The sequence below is a fragment of the Homo sapiens genome, chromosome 12 (genome assembly GCF_000001405.40).
Source record: "Homo sapiens chromosome 12, GRCh38.p14 Primary Assembly".
Classification (NCBI taxonomy): domain Eukaryota; kingdom Metazoa; phylum Chordata; class Mammalia; order Primates; family Hominidae; genus Homo; species Homo sapiens.
Window position 1 is genome coordinate 122,134,280 of NC_000012.12, and position 14,315 is coordinate 122,148,594.

General features: G+C 56.1%; 1 protein-coding gene across 7 annotated transcripts in view, besides 2 other annotated features; it reads left to right on the forward strand.

The window, feature by feature from the left end:
• The window catches only part of MLXIP (MLX interacting protein), a 68,589-nt gene extending 55,524 nt beyond the window's left edge, over positions 1-13,065 (forward strand). Inside the window, exons 10-18 of one of the 7 annotated variants that reach the window (XM_006719290.5) lie at positions 945-1,066; positions 1,210-1,387; positions 3,190-3,311; positions 3,912-4,016; positions 4,145-4,272; positions 4,536-4,659; positions 6,675-6,804; positions 7,129-7,240; positions 7,412-13,065. In XM_006719290.5, the coding sequence (XP_006719353.1) occupies positions 945-1,066; positions 1,210-1,387; positions 3,190-3,311; positions 3,912-4,016; positions 4,145-4,272; positions 4,536-4,659; positions 6,675-6,804; positions 7,129-7,240; positions 7,412-7,541 (1,151 nt within the window). In that variant the 3' untranslated portion in view covers positions 7,542-13,065. The other 6 variants (XM_006719291.5, XM_006719292.5, NM_014938.6 and 3 more) reach the window with 6 other exon arrangements.
• Positions 3,887-4,749: an enhancer, noted in NCBI's record as "H3K4me1 hESC enhancer chr12:122622713-122623575 (GRCh37/hg19 assembly coordinates)". NCBI's record gives its function as "activates a minimal SCP1, AML or CMV promoter by ChIP-STARR-seq in naive H9 embryonic stem cells {active_cell/tissue: H9 hESC(naive)}" and the evidence as "EXISTENCE:reporter gene assay evidence [ECO:0000049][PMID:30033119]".
• Positions 8,210-8,410: a silencer, noted in NCBI's record as "peak2016 fragment used in MPRA reporter construct". NCBI's record gives its function as "represses an SCP1 promoter by STARR-seq MPRAs in K562 erythroleukemia cells {active_cell/tissue: K562}" and the evidence as "EXISTENCE:reporter gene assay evidence [ECO:0000049][PMID:32103011]".

The window sequence follows — 14,315 nt, forward strand, 5'->3', positions numbered from 1 at the left end:
CCCCTCCCGGGTTCAAGCGATTCTCCTTCGTCAGCCTCCCGAGTAGTTGGGATTACAGGTGTGCGCCACTATACTCGGCTAATTTTTGTTTGTTTGTTTGTTTTTTGAGATGGAGTCTCACTCTGTCGCCTAGCTGGAGTGCAGTGGTGTGATCTCGGCTCACTGCAACCTCCGCCTCCTGGGTTCAAGTGATTCTCCTGCCTCAGCCTCCCGAGTTAGCTGGGATTACAGGCGCCCATCACTACACCCAGCTAATTTTTTGTATTTTTAGTAGAGATGGGGTTTCACCATGTTGGCCAGGCTGGTCTCGAACTCCTGATCTCAGGCGATCTGCCCACCTTGGCCTCCCAAAGTGCTGGGATTACAGGTGTGAGCCCCCACACCCAGTCTCTATTCTCTTTTTTTTTTTTTTGAGACGGAGTTTCACTGTTATTGCCCAGGCTGGAGTGAGATGACATGATCTTGGCTCACTGCAACCTCTGCCTCCCGGGTTCAAGTGATTCTCCTGCCTCATCCTCCTGAGTAGCTGAGATTACAGGCATGTGCCACCACACCTGGCTAATTTTGTATCTTCAGTAGAGATGGGGTTTCACCACATTGGCCAGGCTGGTCTCGAACTCCTGACCTCTGGTGATCCACCTGCCTCGGCCTCCCAAGGTGCTGGGATTACAGATGTGAGCCATTGCACCCAGCCTCTCTATCTTTTTTTTAAAGTTAGTCACAACCTACAGTGTGAAAACATGGTCCTGGCCATCTCTTTCCTGGGTCTATAACATGTCTCCTTCAAGAAGTCACACAAATGGTTTTAGGTGCCTTGGTGGCTTTGTCTTCCTGTCCCCTGGGGTTGAGAACAAGCTGTCTCACTGGCAGAGAGGCAGCCTCTGCAGGGTGGGCCAGGCCCTGTGGCCCAGGGCTGCACCTGAACATCCTCCTTATCCTGGCAGCTGCCTTTTCAGGCCAACCACAAGCGGTGATCATGACGTCAGGGCCTCTGAAGAGAGAAGGGATGTTGGCCTCCACCGTGTCCCAGTCCAACGTGGTCATTGCGCCTGCTGCCATCGCCAGGGTGAGGAGGGCCCTAGGCAGACCTGCAGTGTCCTTCTCACCCCGGAGCACTCTGATCTTGGGCGGCCCTCACCTGAGACGACTGGTGTGCCGCCCTGCTGTATATCAGCAGTCAGGGGTGACCTGTCTCCCATGTCACTGCAGGCTCCTGGGGTCCCGGAGTTCCACAGCAGCATCCTGGTGACAGATCTCGGCCATGGCACGAGCAGCCCGCCTGCCCCCGTCTCCCGGCTCTTCCCAAGCACAGCGCAAGACCCCCTGGGGAAGGGCGAGCAGGTCCCGCTGCATGGGGGCAGCCCCCAGGTCACTGTCACAGGGCCCAGTGAGTGTTCACTCGGCGGGATGGTTGGGGCATCGCAAGGGAAGTAACTGGGCCTGCCGTAGACCATGGGGGGTGCTTGCTGGGTCCCCAGGACGGAGCCTGGGCTTAGGACACACAGTGAGGTCTTGTAGGCCTGCTGATAACACAGTCTGGGAACACGCTCTGTGGGTGGCAGGATGAAATGTGGTGGCACTGGCAGGGCAAAAAGTAGTGAACATGTGGCAGTGTAGGTGACCCGTGTGCTCGGGGAGTCCCTGCTGACTGCCCACGAAGGCCTGGTACTGAGCTGCTGATCTCACCCAGAGAAGGGATTGAGGAGCCCTGGGCTTCCTGTCTCTGGGAGCATCAGCCTGGGGTTGCTGTGGCCACAGAAGCCGTCCAGCCTCATCTGGGCACCAACGTGGCCTTCCCCAGCAGGTCTCAGCACTACAGGTCTGTGGCCCATGTCCACTCTTAGGCCATCCAGGGGCAAGATAGTCAGAGCAGGACTGATTTTGCCCAGGGACATCTGAGGAGCCAACAGGCCAGATCAGGGACAAATGGTGTGCCCGAGGCTGTGCTGCTGGTAGAGGGTGTGGGCAGATGGGGCCCCTTCCCTCAAATGCCTGCCATACCAGGAAGGGAAATGGAAATGGCCTCTTTTCTTAAATAAATGCATGGTGTAGGCCAGGCGCAGTGGCTCATGCCTGTACGCCCAGCACTTTGGGAGGCTAAGGCAGGTGGATCACTTGAGGTCAGGAGTTCGAGACCAGCCCAGCCAACATGGTGAAACCTTGTCCCTATCAAAAAATGCAAAAAAAAAAAAAAAAAAAAAAAGCAGGGCTTAGTGGCATGCACCTGTAGTCCCAGCTACTCAGGAGACCGAGATGGGAGAATCACTTGAATCCAGGAGGTGGAGGTTGAAGTGAGCTGAGATCGAGTCACTGCACTCCAGCCTGGGTGACAGAGCGAGACTCAATCTCAAACAAACAAAGGCATGGTGTAGCTGCTCCTGGAACTCTGAGCAAACAGTTGTCTCCCTCTTCCCTCAGGAAGACGCGAATGAGGGAGGGTCTCTGACTTAGTGGGCTCAGCCAGCAGGGGCCTTTTCCAAGGACAGGCTTTGGAGAGTAAGGACTCTTCAGTCTGGAAAGATAGAAACAAGAGAGTTGGGAGTCAGGCCCCTCAAATAATCGAGGGAGAGGTTAGGGCCAACCATTGCCTTGGTCTCCGGAGTCTCAGAACACAGAACTTAGAGCCTGCTGCACAGCCTCACGGGGAGTTTGGGGAAAATAATCCAGCAGAGAGGAAAGGAAGCGGAGGCATTTGTTACAGTAAAGCAGAATGGGCCGAGAAGGCCGAGTCCACCTGGGACTGAGCACGGTCACTCACTCCTCTAATCCTAGCACTTTGGGAGGCAGAGGCAGGTGGATCGCTTGAGCCCAGGAGATTGAGACCAGCCTAGACAATATAGTGAGACCTTGGCTCTATAAAAAATGTTTTTTAATTAAAAAATATAATAATAATAAAGAGCCCACCTGCGAAATATCTCGTAAAGCGACACCAGTGACTGGAACACGTCACACAGGGTTGCTCCATCGTGTTCTGTGTGGATTAAGGGTGTTTTTGTTGTTGTTATTAATTTAAGATTTTCAGGGAGTGAATAAGAATAATCTAAGGAAGCATGTGTGTGCAGTTGAAAGAACCAAGTGCAATACGTGGCTAGCAGCGAGCACCTCATAACCCTGCAGAGACCCCAGGCTGCCTCCTGGTGGCGTTGAGGGGCCAGGCCTCCGCCCCTCAGAGGAGTCTGTTCTTACCAGGTCGGGACTGCCCAAACTCAGGGCAGGCCTCTCCGTGTGCATCGGAGCAGAGCCCCAGTCCTCAATCTCCCCAGAACAACTGCTCAGGGAAATCCGACCCCAAAAATGTGGCTGCACTAAAGGTACCGCATGTCTCCTCTTGGTTCCCTTGGGAGGAGGGGAGAGGAGTGCAGGACATCAAGGATCTGTGTCTTGTCTGGAACGGAGACCTCAGACCCAGCCAGAGCTGCCCAGGCAGGGGTGGATCAGAAATGGGCTTCTCCTTGCCCCATGCCACGAACCAGCCCTGTGGGGATGGTGGGCCCCCTGGAGGCTTTTGGGTGAGCCCCAAGCCTGGGAGCCAACGCTGAGTCCACGTAGTGTGCAGGTACTGCTCAGGCTGCCCGCATCAGTTGCAGGAGGGGTGTGGCCACCACCAGAGCTGTGCTGTGGGGAGGAGGCAGGGCTGGGTGGGGAAGGCGGAGCTTGCAGCACCTGGGATGCACCGGTTCAGCCCTGCCGTTCCCAGCCCCAGCTGTGCACCATTCTGCAGAGCGGGTTTTCTGTGGTTCCCAGTCTTGTCCCTCCGGCTCCTCATTGGAGCCTTCAGCTTCTCGTCGTGCCCTCCTCCCACGTAGCTCTCTAGCCCTGGCCCTTGGGCACCCAGGATCAGCGTAGGGGGTGAGGAAGGGTGGACAGTGTGCCTGCAATGTGCCTGTCTTAGTGACCAGCGGGTTCTCCAGCAGAACCGGCAGATGAAGCACATCTCAGCTGAGCAGAAAAGGCGCTTCAACATCAAGATGTGCTTCGACATGCTCAACAGCCTCATCTCCAACAATTCCAAGCTGGTGAGTTGCCAAGAGCGTGGGCTGTGGCAGGGCAGGGGAGCTGGCAGGACGTGCTCCCTGCGTGGTCATTGCTGGTGGCAGGCCTGCTGGCTGTGGGTGCTGCCTCCAGCCACCTGCCCCTTCTGCAGACCAGTCACGCCATCACACTGCAGAAGACTGTGGAGTACATCACCAAGCTGCAGCAGGAGAGAGGCCAGATGCAGGAGGAGGCCCGGCGGCTGCGGGAGGAGATCGAGGAGCTCAATGCCACCATCATGTGAGCTTCTGGGCCTTGGGGCTCCAACCAGGCACCCCATCCCGATGCAGGGCCTGCCTCAGAGGTGGTGGGACCCTGTGGCCTCATCACTGGTCAGTGCCTCTTTGCTGCAGTAGTTCTGCTCTTTGTCAACCTCCTTCCACAGACCTCTCTTCTCTGTGCCTGGCTGTGGCCCGGCACTGGGCCAGCCCTGCCATCTTTTGTCCCAGGGTCCTTATTGGCCACTGGCTGCTCCACAGCTCCCACGGCTCCTGTCATTTCAGCTCCTGCCAGCAGCTGCTCCCTGCCACGGGAGTCCCCGTTACCCGGCGCCAGTTTGATCACATGAAAGACATGTTTGACGAATACGTGAAAACCCGGACCTTGCAGAATTGGAAGTTCTGGATTGTATCTTTGGGTTTTCTTTTTGCTCTTCCCGGCCCTCAGCCAATGCACTGAAGCCACAGACCGTGGCACTGTAGTTACTTTAGAAAGACTCTTTAAATGCCTGTCACCAAGCTCCTCACGACAGGCAGTGCTAGTGTCTATCTCGGGAGAGAGTGGTCCGGCCTGGCCTGCTGTGTGGGCTGGAGGTGCTGATGGGGCTTCAGGGTGCTTTGCAGGAAGGGCTAGGGAGGTAGAACGGTGGGCTTCGCTCTCTAGGTCCTTAAGAAATCAGGACAATGCTAGAGCCACTTGCAGAAGGTGCAGGGGAAGGAGGCATGGTTCCACACAGCCTGGCAGCCAGCTCGGTCCTCGAAGCCACAGGGAGGGTGAGTGCCACCCCTGCTGTGACAGGCGGAAACCAGGACTCCCTCCACTGAGTGGTAGAGCCCAATTTGAAGCCTAATGGAGCATGTCCACCTCTAGGGGCTCTCGTGCCAAGGCCACCTTGCACTCAGCCTTCCAGGTGGCAGCACGGCTCTCACGGGGAGTGGTTCCCGCCTGGTCACTCCCCACCCTGCCACCGCTCTGCCTCTGAGTAAACGGTCGGCACATGTGTTGGGTTGACCGTGGCATTGGGGCAAGGGTCTGACAGTCAGAGGTGACGGTCGTGCAGGAGGAGAGAATCCCAGCTGCAGCTATCGGGCAGGGCAGGGCGCAGCACCTGTGTGTGCTGGAAGGGACAGAGTGTTTTTGTTTGTTTCTTTTTTCCCCCTGAGACAGGGTCTCACTCTGTCACCCAGGCTGGAGTGCAGTGGTACAATCACAGTTCACTGCAGCCTCCACCTTCCCAGACTCAAGTGTTCCTCCTGCCTCAGCCTCCTGAGTGGCTGGAACTACAGGCTCATGCCACCACGCCCGGCTAATTTTTGTATTTTTAATGGAGATGGGGTTTCACCATTTTGGCCAGGCTGGCCCCAAACTCCTGACCTCAGGTGATCCCCCTGCCTTGGCCTCCCAAAGTGCTGGGATTACAGGCGTGAGCCACCGTGCCCGGCCATAAGAGGCAGTTTTTAATTGAAGAGATGACAGGCACCAGCTCTGATTCCTCTGTGTTGCTGTTTTACTGCCTGCCCTGGTCCTGATCCCTGTCATTAATAGAGCTGGGTGGCGTCTGGAATGAATCAGAGCTTCTTTGATGAAATGGCATACTCCCCATCATCAGGCCGAGGTGGAGGAACTGTGAGTGCCGTCCTGATCAAAGTCCGAGGGGAAACATGCCTCAGGCCTTCACTAAGATGGTCTAGGAGACTGGCATGCACTTTTGCATTTAACACAGAAGGCAAACGCCACTTTCAGGCAGATGGCTCCTGCCTTTATTTATTTATTTATTTATTTTGAGAACAGAGTCTTGCTCTGTCACCCAGGCTGGAGTGCAGTGGTGCAATCTCGGCTCACTGCAGCCTCCGCCTCCCGGGTTCAAGCGATTCTCCTGCCTCAGCCTCCCAAGTAGCTGGGATTATAGGCACCCACCACCACGCCCAGCTAATTTTTGTATTAGTAGAGATGGGGTTTCACCATGTTGGCCAGGCTGGTCTCAAACTCCTGACCTCAAGTGATTCACCCACCTCAGCCCCCCAAAGTGCTGGGATTATAGACGTGAGCCACCGCGCCCGGCTGGCTTCTGCCTTTCCACCTGCTCTGTGCCTTTGATGTTCCTGGCACTGTATGTAAGAACGATTTTGATCGCATGTTTGTGCTAGGACCTGTTCCAGACTAGAGACCTTCTGTGTCCCTGTCCCCTGCCTGCTCGGTGCTTGAGCGGCCCTGTTGTCCAGGTACAGTTAGAGCAGAGTGTTTTCATGAAGTGGAAGACACACCTTGCCTAGAGATCTCTCCCTCTTTTCCCCAGTGATCCATTCTCTGTGGGCAGATACTTTCCAGCCCCAGGGGAAAGGAGTACGCCAGTCCAACCACCTTCGGGTCTGCAGTCCCCAGCCCCTCTCCGTGCTTGCCTTTTCTTTAACCACACACTGCAGTTCAGCATCATCATCAAGCCGCTGTTTGAGTCGTTCAAGGGCATGGTGTCCACCAGCAGCCTGGAGGAGCTGCACCGGACGGCGCTCTCCTGGCTGGACCAGCACTGCTCCCTGCCCATCCTCAGGCCGAGTGAGTGGGGCAGTGCCAGGGTGGGGGGCTTCATGCTAGTCCTGGAGGGAGGACAGCCCCAGGCTGAGGACAGTATTAGCCAGACTCCACTGCAGGCAGCCAGGTGGGGCCGGGGCAGGGGCACAGTGCTGTCCAGGAGGTCCTCAGTCAGGAGCGCCCAGTGGGGGCAGGAGGCTCCTGCCCTTTTGTGTCTCCCAGCTTGTTCAGACCCAGCTTGCATGGATCTAGTGCCAACTATTTGCCAGGCCCTGTATCAGGTGCCTTCAGGTGTGTTTTCTTGTTTAATTCTTATAACAACAAGCAAAGATTATCCCATATGTTAAGGTTATAGAAGCTTAATATCAGAACAGCTGGCAGCCCCATGGCACCAGGAACAGCATAGGATGCTCCACCTACGGCAGCTCCTGGATTTGGGGAGGCTTCTGGAGGCAGAGGGGTGAGTGCCCAGGTCTCGGTGTCGGCCCCTGGCACTCCTCCCTGCAGTCCAGCATGGCTGCTGCTCGCCCCGTGCCTGAGCATTCCCACATGGGTTGTAGGTACAAAGCCGAGTGTGCGGTGTGTGGTGGGTCTGTGTCACTGCCTGTGTCTGACCCTTTCTGTCTTGCAGTGGTATTGAGCACGCTGCGGCAGCTGAGCACCTCCACCTCCATCCTCACAGACCCGGCACAGCTGCCAGAGCAGGCGTCCAAGGCTGTCACCAGGATTGGCAAGAGATTGGGAGAGTCCTAGCTGCTTAGCTGGCATGTGGCCGCATGAGATGCCAGGAGACCCTTCCCTGCCCATGGAGAGTAGGCTGCGCCCCCCAGCCCTTCCTGACGCTCAGCCTCGGGGCCTCTCTCCAACTCTGCCGGCCCACCGTGGCATCGGGAGGCCATGCTCAGGTCTGAAGCAGGTTTGGGGCCTGCTGACAGCAATAGCCCGCCTTTGGGAACCCCTTGCTGTGAACTCTCTCACTCAGTGACCTCAGTCACCAACCTCCTCTGCCCTCGGGGCAGCCCACACAAAAGGGAAGTGCTGGCCGTGCTGGTCCTGCCCTGCTGGTGGCCTGCCGGGCCTGGCGCCGGTGAGCGGAATCGATGGGATGAGGGTGACAGGGCCTGCTCCTGTCCTGAGGCCCAGCCTTGTCCCTCCTGCCACGTCCTGTCCACATGCATGCCTCTGCCTGATGCCCTGCTCCACTCTCTGGTCTGCCCGTGGGGCAGTTGGAAGGCGTCTTTCTTTCTCCCCTCAACTCTGACAGCACCCAGCCCTTGTGGATGGACTTGGGCTTCTATTCAGGCTTATGCATGGCAGGCTGCCAGGGGGAAGTGCCTTCTTCAGAGGTCCTCCAGGACACATGTGTGCAGAAACGGTGGATGTGGAACACACAGGACCAGAATGGAAGCGTGTGATGCACGGTGGCTGCTCTGGCTGAGAGGCCCTGCTGGGCATGTTTCATCTGTCCCCTTTTAGCTCCACCTGACATTGCAGGATCCATGGGGACTCAGCCCAGGGCCTTCTCGGATGTCACCTCACCGCTGTGGCCCTTCTGCCGTTCTTCTCCACTTGGCTCCAGCTGCAGCTGTTGACAGATCAAGCATGTCCTGTGGGAGCTTAGAACCCTGAAGTTCTAGTGTCTGAAAGATCAGACTCCACGTCCTGCTGTCAGCCTTGTCATCTTGTCTGATGTCTTTCAGCTGGGAGCCCCAAACCAGGACAGTTCTCGGACCAAAGATGCCCCCACACTCAAAAGTCTGTCCCGTCTTGTGTTTGGAGAAGGAAACAATGTTGGCAGGCAGCACTCTGTGGTGGTCAGCCCTCAGAGCTGTTTCTAGGCATCTCTCAGATCAGACAGCAAAGAATCTACCCAGATCTGGGCTGGGTGGAGGTGTGGCTGGGCTGGGGGCCATTCTGAGCCTGCAGTGAGAGTTTGGCCCAGCCTCAGTCCTTGCTCTTCTCTGGCTACCTCTGCAGGGAGCTGCAGGGGCAAGCACTCTCTCCAGCACTCAGGAAGCCCGGCCGAGGGTACCTCCTCGTGGAAAGAATGCACTTTAAAGCTCTGCTGAGGAGTTCGGAGCCCAGGCTTTCAGGCGACCTCTGCCCTCCCTGCCTCTCCTCACCCTCCCTCTCTTCCTGCAGGGCCTGGGAAGGGCTTTGAGGGAGCCTGGGAGCCATGTGAAGAGGGGCACGCCTGGGCTGTCCCACAGTTTAGATCCAGTTGGAGGTTCTCCCTGGCTCCTGCAGGCCTGCGGGGATCTCTCCCCACTTCAGGCCTCCGGCCAGCTGCCTGCCCTCTTGTCTGTGCTTCAGCCCTGCACAAAAGCAGCTTGGTGACACCACTCAGCCACCCAGAGTACGTGTTTACAGGCTTTCCAGATCACCTTCCTGTGGGGTGAACGTAATGAGGCGGGGCTGGTCCTTGGAATTTCCCCTGGAAAATGGTAACAGACTCCATCCTTGACCCGGGGATGAGCATGAAGGCATTGTCCCAAAGGCAGAGGCCACCGTGGTAGGAATTCCACCAAGGCCAGAAGGGAAAAAGGAAGAACCCACCGTGTCTGGCTGTGCGGGCCCTGGGGAGGGTCGTGAGTGCAGCCCCTCTCTACTTCTGTGCCTTTGTAAAACGTGTAGATAACCGCAGTGGTTGGCTGAGCCAAGAACTCTCCTAAATCAGTGGCTTTCTCCCCACCCCTTGCTGGGGAGTCATTTTTAAAAAAATCTGTGGGATATAAAATTGGCCTCCTGCTGCTTCAGCCTACCTCTCCCTCTGCTGACTTAATGTCGTGATTCTGTTTCTTCAGATATTTAAGGCTGTTAGGTTGTGTGAGCCTTGAAGTGTGTGTGTGTGTCCCAGCGACTGTCCACTGTCCAGGAGATGCATGTCTTTGTATTGGAGATATTTCTGTAACTCATTCTCTTGGTGCTCACGATTGCCATGGCCATAGGGCCACAGTGCCGTATCTGCTGCAGACATGATTGTTTCTTGTTCTAGAGGTTTTCTTGTTTTCGAATCTTGCCTGATGAATCCAGCCAGACCAAGGGGCCTAGATTTGACCTCTGTCCTGGGCTCCTGGGCCAGGTGCAGGAACATCTGAGGCCACTCTGCTGGCCACCTCCAGTGGGTGCTGACCACAGGATGGGCTTTGTTTACACTCATTTTCACCCTGATTCTTGCCCCCACTTTCATAAAAGAAACTTCAAAATGCTGACGCTTTGGAGAGTAAGAAAATCAATCTTGGCTGGGCACGGTGGCTCCTGCCTGTGATCCTAGCACTTTGGGAGGCTGAAGCTGAAGGATCACTTGAGCTCAGGAGTTGGAGACCAACCCTGGCAACATAACAAGACCCTGTCTCTACAAAAAAAAAAAAAAAAAAAAAAAATTTAGCCGTGTGTAGCAGTGAGTGCCTGTGGTCCCAGCTACTTGGGCCTGAGGCTGGAGGATTGCTTGAGCCTAGAAGTTGCAGTGAGCTATGATCATGCCACACTGTACTCCAGCCTGGATGACAGAGTGAAACCCTGCCTCTAAATAAAAGAAAATAGAGGCAGACTGTGGTGGCTCACGCCTGTAATCCCAGCACTTTGGTAGGCCAAGGCGGGTGGATCACCTGCAGTCAGGAGTTCACAACCAGCCTGACCAACATGGTGAAACCCTGTCTATACTAAAAATACAAAACATTAGCCACGTGTGGTGGTACACGCCTGTAATCCCAGCTACTCGGGAGGCTGAGTCAGGAGAATCACTTGAACCTGGGAGGCGGAGGTTGCAGTGAGCTGAGATTGTACCACTGCACTCCAGCCTGGGTGACAGAGCAAAACCCTATCTCAAAAAAAAAAAGAAGAAAAAAATAGAAAATCCAAAAAGAAAAACCAGAAGGCCTGCTGGCGTATAAATCCCTGGGCGGGTTTCTGATAAATTGCCCTGTGCTGTCAGCCCCTGCACTGCACTGCTGCCTTCCATGGTGGGTGGGAGACCCCAGAGCGGGGCAGGCGCCACTGAGGGCTTTTCTTGGAGTCGGCCAGCAGGCCACGCAGCATCCGGCACCCTGGGCGGGCTGGCTAGCTGCCTTCTTAGGACATCTCTACTTTGAAGGATTTTACCGCAGGAAGCAATAGCAGCGCTGGCCATTGGTGCTGATGACAGCATTGGGTCTGGTTGAGGGGAAGGGGCTGGAAAGCAGCAGACCCCCCCAGTGCTGCGCATGGTCCCGGAGCTGTCAGCCAGGGGAGTGGGGTCAGCCGTCAGCCAGCCCTCCCATTTCCCGCCCATGGGCCCTGACCACACTCCCTTTTCTAGAAGTCAATCCTAAGGTTTCTCTGCTCTGGCTAAGAGGATGTAAATTTGGATTCTTAGAGGGCATGGCACCCCCAGTCCCTGCCCAGATAAAGTAGCACAGTGGCAGGCAGCACCTCTGTCTGTTGCTGACGTTGGGGGGCTTACACACCCACCTCATCTCCGTGCACAGCCATGACTGGCCCTGCCGGCAGCTGGGGTGCAGGTAAGGGTCTCTCTCATAGAGGGGAGCTGCAGCTGAGAACTGGCGAGGCCCCTTCCTCCAAGGCCCTAGCTGGCCCCCGGGTGAACCTGAGGTGGCAGGTTCAGGTTTTCAAGATGGTGAGGTCTCGCTGTCTGCTGGACAGTACGTTAGGCTCTCAGAACTCATGGGTGTGGAGCTGGGCCTGTCCCGGGCCAGTGGACCCCTGTGTGTGGGGGATTTGGGGTGCTGTGGGCCTGGTTATGCACTGGCAGATGGACCTTGCTTTGGTCCAGCTCTTTTCCTTACCCTGGCTCTGACGTGGGAAGGCTTGGAGGGCCCGTCTCATCACCCCCGTTCGCCCTCAGCTGTCCCTTTCCCTTGTCGCCTGGCCGCTGCCTCGCCCGCCTGAGGCCTCCTAGCAGGCAGCCTGGGTGTGAGTTGAGCCTCTCTCTTTTCCCTCTGGTGGGAAAGTGGCCTTTCCCTCAACACCTGCTCCCCGGCCCCAGAGGAACCCACCTGTTTTGGAGCTCAGCTTGGCCCAGCGTTTCCTTGGGGAAGGGAAAGGAGGGCTGGACAGCACTGATCCGGGCAGGCAGCGTGTGCAGCAGTGGCCAGCCAGAGTGCCAAAGATGCACGGGGATGTGGTGTGTGGCTCCGGGCCCTCGACATCTCTGCTTTGGGGGATTTTTACCTTGTCTGCACACTTGTCAGGGGAGAGGGGACAGCAAGGTGGGAGGTTGAAGAGCTTTGAGGCTCAGCAGCATGTTTGTGGCATTCGGTGGACACCATGGCCTTGGGCGGCTGGACAGGTTTTTGTGATGTGAGGGACACGCATGGGGCACATGGTAAGCTTGGCAAGGGCTCCAGGAACGCTGACGAAGGGTTTTAGGACCCCCACCCCCATGCCTGTACCAGGGCTGGCCTCCAGAGCGGGTGAGGACAGAGCAGCTGTGGGCTTTTCATTCTGAGGTCTTGGCCCCCCTGGCCACCGCAAGGGACTCTTTGCTTGTCAGGGCTTGCAAAAACCAACCTTCGAGAAAGAAAAGGGAACTCTTCACGTTGAATGTTGACTTTGTGTGTATGCGTGTGTGTGTGTGTGTGTGCACGCGCGCGTGTGCGTGTTGACTTCATGGAATTTTGTTTTGTGAAATTCCCCTCCAATCGTGTCAGAATTTACCTCCATGCCCCAGTCACACTGTTGGTTCTGCGCTCTGAACCTGGGTGTAGCTCATTTGAAGGACTCTCTTCTGCGTTTCCTAACAGTTATTTGGTGGTCTCAAGAGTTGAGGTTGTGGAGGGTTGGGAGAAACTGAAGTTCTATACATTTCCATAGAGTTTACATCCTGCAGTTAAAAGGCAGGGAGGGCTCAGCCCGGGCCCCACAGCTCCAGGCCATCCCCTACGGGCTGCCCACAGTGCCCCCTTTTCTCTAGCCGAATCTTTTTCGAACAGCCCGGGAAAGGAAAACGGATTCACTTGCTGATTTTGTTCACGGCGGAAGCACCATGTTCCGTTCCTTTTTCAGGTTCAGTTTGTTGTGTAAATGGCGGTTTTTTCTGGTGTGAGCTTTGGTGATGGTGGCAGGGCTCCTTTGAAGAGATGGTTCCACCTCGTGGTCTGAAGAACAAACCAGAGAAGAGTCTGGTTTGGCCAGAGGCCCCCTCCGGTCCACGTCACCCTGAGTACACCCCTCTGATTGCTCTGCTGTCAAGAAGCACGTTTCCACCAGCTGTATTCAACACTACAATGCATTTTTTAAACTATATTTGCATCCAAGACAATAAAGACACCTTATTTTTTTTGAAAAGCCTGTGATGTGTGGCCTTAAATACTATCCTGTTGCAGCAGTGGAAGAGATGGGAAAATGAAGAGATCTGAGCATAGCGATGCCCTTGGCCAGCTCACTCCTTCTAACCTCGGGAGGTGTGATAAGCCTGGGATGGAGGCATTGGGTGGGGAAGAGGCCCAGGGTGGGAGGGCGATTCTAGAGGTGTGTCCAGAAAGTCGGTGCTCCTCTTCTAAAGACAGGCCTCCCCACAAAGGCTGATGAGAAAGGCCCAGTGTGGCGGGTTCTGCCTGTGGCCTCAGCAGGGGCTAGTGAGGCAGGCCACTGCTCCAGGCCGCACCCAGATGGACAGAACTCACTGGTGCCCCTATAAACCTCCCGTTTCCTCATCCGGGACTTGGGCAAAGAGCACCAGGCCTGCACGCTTGACAGTTTCACGTGAAATCACATGTGTCCAAGTGTTCAGTAGCCCGTGGAGCTCTGTGCTTAGAGAGTGCAGTCATCAGCACAGCCAGCACTGGCCCAGCTCTGCAAGATCCTCAGTCACAGTGGGAGCCTCCAGGCACTGTGGTTCCCCTCCTCGTTATTGACCCAATACCAGAGATGGGAAAGACTAGAAAGCTGGCCAGTAGAACTGTTCCTTTGTTCAGGTGCTGAGAAGGTTTGGCTCATCTTCGTTTAATGTAGCAGCTTTTCTCTGTCGTTTTCCTGGGCCCCGCGCCCACCCATCTGGCGCCCTGTGCCTGGACAGGGTGACCCAGCGAGAAGACACAGCCCCGCACAGAGCCATGGGGTTGCTTCACCAGATGACTGCCCAGATCTGGATCTCGATGTAGAATGCAGTGGGTTGATACACAAGCTCTTGTCTGATCAAACCCCCATACCTCCCCCGAGGAGACACAAAGCAAGCCTGGGCCTTGAGAGCCGGGGGTCCTAGAGGGAAAGGTGAGCGCCTCACAGACTCCTTTGGGCTGGAAGGAACTCGGTTTCCACTGAGCTCAGCAGCAGGGGTCTGTGTTAATGTTTTGAGCGCAGCTCCATACCTACCTGGGATCCTAAAAGATGGTAGGGGCATGATTGGAGGAGAAAGCAGAGTTTGGATGGGTTGGGGAGGGAGTAGCAGCGACAGGAGCAGGACAGGAGCAGGATCCAGAGGGAGCGAGGCCGGTGCCCTGGAGTCCTATTCCTTGATGTTCACTGGGCCCTGCTCAGGCTTAACATTTCCGGCTGCTGCAGGGGCACGTACAGCTCTGCACATTTCTCAAGGTGGT